General features: G+C 34.7%; 1 pseudogene; it reads right to left on the bottom strand.

Moving 5' to 3' along the window:
- Positions 1-2,751: 2,751 nt before the first annotated feature.
- Positions 2,752-3,963, bottom strand: HNRNPA1P47 (heterogeneous nuclear ribonucleoprotein A1 pseudogene 47; annotated as a pseudogene).

Raw genomic sequence — 4,449 nt, 5'->3', positions numbered from 1 at the left:
TTCACTATATTGGCCAAGTTGGTCTTGAACTCCTGACCTCAAGTGATCATTCTGCCTCAGCCTCCCCAAGTGCTGGGATTACAGGCATGAATCACCATGCCCTGCCGAAAAATACATGTTTTTTAAGACTAGCAAAAAAGGAGAGAGTTCATTATCACTAGACTGGCCCTAAAATAAATGCTTACAAGAATCATACATCTGAAAGCAAAGGAATGAAATCTACCTTCGTTGAAATCCACTAAATTATAAAACTCACTGACAGAGAATATACCTAAATTAGAAAGAAAATGGACTGACATGTTATCTTTACAAAAAAAAAAACAAACTGAAAAATAAAAGTAAACACTAAAAGAAGAAAGGAACGAGATAAACTACATAATCAGAATGCAATTAACAAAATGACAGTAGTAAGTCCTCATGTATTAATAACAACCTTGAGTTTACATAATTTGATATAGATATAGACTGGCTAAATGGATTAAAAGAGAAATCTAGCTGTATGTTGCTGACAAGACGTTTACTTTATGTGTAAAGACAGAAATAGACTGAAATGAAATGGATGAAAAGAAAATATTCCACACAAACAGAAAACAGAAGCATGTAGAATGTTTATACCTATATTAGACAAAACACTCTTTTGTCAAAAACATAAAAAGTGACGTAAGGGTCATTACATAATAAAAAATGGGCAAAATCACGAAGACATTATAACAATTGTAAACACACACATACACACAGTCAACATTGGAAGATGTGCGTGTGTGTGTGTGTATGTTTATATATATATATATATGTATGTGTGTGTATATCTATCTATATATATAGATATATATATATATATATATATAGCAAATATTATTAGAATTAAAGGGAGAGATAGACACTAATACATTAATAGTTGGGACTTTCTACACTACACTTTCAGCATTGGACAGATTATTTAGAGAGAAAATAAGCAAAGAACTGTGAGACTAAATTTGCACTGTAGATTAAATGGACCTAACAGAAATTTATTTACTAAACCTTTTATCAAACAGTAGCAGAATACACAGTCTTCTCATCAGCACATGCAAACATTCTCTGGGACAGACCATATATTAGGCCACAAAACAAGTTTAAATATTTTTTTAATTTAAATCATATCAAATATCTTTTTAGAACATAAAGGAATAAAACTACAATAAGAAATGAAACTTTGAAAATTTAACAAATACATGTAAATTAAAGAACATACTTTTAAATTACCTTTGCATCGACAAAGATAGTAAGAAAAAATGTAAAAGGAAATTTGAAACAAGTAAAAATGGAAATACAACAAACAAAAACCCATGTGACACAGCAAAAGCAGGGATAAGAGGAAACTTCACAGCAATAAACAGCTACAAAAAGGAGAAGGAATTTAAATAACAATCCTAATGATGCACCTCAAAGAAATAGAAAAGTAACAACAAATCAAAGCCCAAATTAGTAGGACAGAAATAATAAAGATTAGAAAACAACTAGACAAAATGGAGACTAAAAAAAATTATAAATAATCGATGAAATGAAAAATTACTTTTTCCAAAAGATAAACATAATTGATAAACTGCTTGCTATACTAGTCAAGAAAAAAGAGAGAAGACCTGAAAAAATAATATCAGAGATAAAAATGAGACATTACATCTGATATAATGGAAACATAAAGGATCATTAGAATTTATTATGAACAATCATATGACAACAAATTGGAAACCTAGAGGAAATGGATAAATTCCTGGACACATACACCCTACCAAAATTGAACTAGGATGGAATAGAAAACTTGAACAGGCCAATAATGACTATGAGATTGAATCAGCAATAAAAGTCTTCCAAAAAAAGAAATGCCCAAGACCCCATGGCTTTACTGCTACATGGAATTCTTCCAGACTTCTAAAGAAAAGCTAGTTACAATTCTCAAATTATTCCAAAAATTAGAAGAGGAGAGAATTCTGACTACTTCATTCTATGAGGTCAGCACTACCCTAATGCCAAAACTAGATAGGGACACAACAAAAAAGGAAACTAGAAGAAAATAAACCTGATGAATATAAATGAAACAATCCTCAACATTATAGTAGCAAGTCAAATCCAACAACATATTAAGAAGATAACACACCATGATCAAATCAGATTTATCCCAGGGATGCAAACATTGTTCAAAACATGCAAATTATTTTATTTTATTTTCAAGATAATTAAATCGTTTATTGATTACACATGATAATGGATGATACAAAAGCTTCATTCTCATCTATAATTTTATCTGGTACCATCATTCAATTTAGATATATTGCATCAGATGTGGCCACAATCATTTTTATAACCAATAATTCCATGATTTTGCTTGGGTGGCTTGGGTGATCCCTTTTAATGGTGAACTTCGGGTCATAACGGTAACTATCTTTCAACTACACCAAGGTTTCTGAAGACAATGGCTTCTCCACCCAAGCAGACTGTATATAAATTCCAAATAGGACTTGGCATTACTCTGAAGGAATTCTAACTTCACACTGCTGGGGAAATTTACCAAGATGGCTTCAGAGTAGACTAACTTAACACAGCACATTAAAAAAAAAAAAAAAAAAAAAAGACACATTTATTCAGCATCATGATCAGACTATTACATTTAGCAATTAACAGCATGGGTGTAAAAAAAAAAATCTACATTAAAACCTTTTGTTGGAATGCTTTATACTTTCCACAGAACAGAAACTAAAATAACCTGTTATACAACTCATCGCAAATACAGTCCTCTAGTTTTTGCCATACACATGAGTATTTGTCTGAAACATTTTTTTTTTCCTTTGGTAGCAGCTAGGCCCTGCCACCACTGTGTTTGGCTGAGTTCACAAATCTGTTGTAACCTGTAGCTTCCCTGTCACTTATCGGACTCTTCTTTTCTGCTAAGCTTTGTTTCCTGGCAGTAATTAAAATCTTCTGCCACTGCCATAGCTACTACTGCTACCGGAACCGCCATAGCAACCTTGGTTTCATGGTTTGTCAAAGGATTGGCCTCCACCACCATAGAGGCCAGAACTTCTGCCTCCAAAGTTTCCTCCCTTCATAGGTCCAAAATTTGAAGACCTATTGTTGTAACTGCCAAATATATTGTAGCTTCTACCATCTCCAAAATTGCTTCCATCATTACCAAATCCATTATCGCCAACCCCACTGCCACCATATCCACCACCACCACAGCTGCCACCAAAGCCACCAAGACCACTGAAGTTTCCTCCATAACCAAAGTTGTCATTCCCACTGAAACCAACTCCAAGACCACTATCAAAGTTTCCAGAACTACTTCGACCTCTTTGGCTGGATGAAGCACTAGCTATCTCTTGCTTTGACAGGGCTTTCCTAACTTCATAGTTGTGGTCATTCCCAGTAACGGTATGGTCGTCAAAGTTTACAAGCGCAAAGCCCCTTTTCTTGCCACTGTCTTGGTCAGTAATGATTTCAATCCCTTTAATTTTTCCATACAGTTCAAAAATATTATCTTAAGTGATGTTCTTCAGTGTCTTCTTTAATGCCACCAACAAATATCTTTTACACAGTTAAGCGGGCACCTGATCTTTGATAATCTTCTCTTGAGACAGGTCTCTTTGGTTCCACAACTCTTCCATCCACCTTGTGTGGCCTTGTATTCATGACTGCATCCACCTCTTCTGCAGTGGCATGTGTGACAAAACCAAAGCCCCTGGAGCGCTTGGTGTTTGGATCTCTCATTACCGCACAGTCCGTGAGCGTTCCCCATTGCTCAAAATGGCTCTTCAGGCTCTCATCAGTTGTTTCAAAGCTCAACCATCCAATGAAGAGCTTCCTCAGATGTTCGGGCTATTTAGGAGACTCTGATTTAGACATAATGGCAAGGGGAAGAGAGACTTTAACAATGCTTCCTCAGTGGCATCCACAGGCAGAAGGAAGTAAATGATGAACATACCTCCACCACGTGCAAATTAATAAATGTGATACATCACAGTAACACTAAGTGTTTAAATCATAAGACCTAAAATTATAAAACTTCTAGGCAAAAACAGGGGAAATGCTTTAGGACAGTTGTCTAGGCACAGATTTTATGACTGGGACTTCAAAAGCACAGGCAAAATGCCTCTACAAAAATAGATAAGTGGGCTACATTAAAATAAAAAGCTCTGGACAGCAAAGAAACAGAGTGAAGAACAATCTTTAGATTGAGAGAAATAGCTATTAATCTGACAGGGGACTAATACTCAGAATTCAGAAGAAAAAAAACTCAACAGCAAAAGAATAAATAAACCCATTAAAAAGTGGGCAAAGAATCTGAGTAGACTTTTCTCAAAATAAGACATACAAGACATACAAATGTCTAACATGTATATTTAAAAATGCTCAACATTACTAATCATCATGGAAATGCAAGTTCAAACGGCAACGAGTTATCATCTCACC

This window comes from Homo sapiens, chromosome 2 (assembly GCF_000001405.40).
Source record: "Homo sapiens chromosome 2, GRCh38.p14 Primary Assembly".
Taxonomy (NCBI): domain Eukaryota; kingdom Metazoa; phylum Chordata; class Mammalia; order Primates; family Hominidae; genus Homo; species Homo sapiens.
The sequence above is the reverse complement of the archived record's forward strand: the minus strand, read 5'-3'. Positions and strand labels throughout refer to the sequence as shown.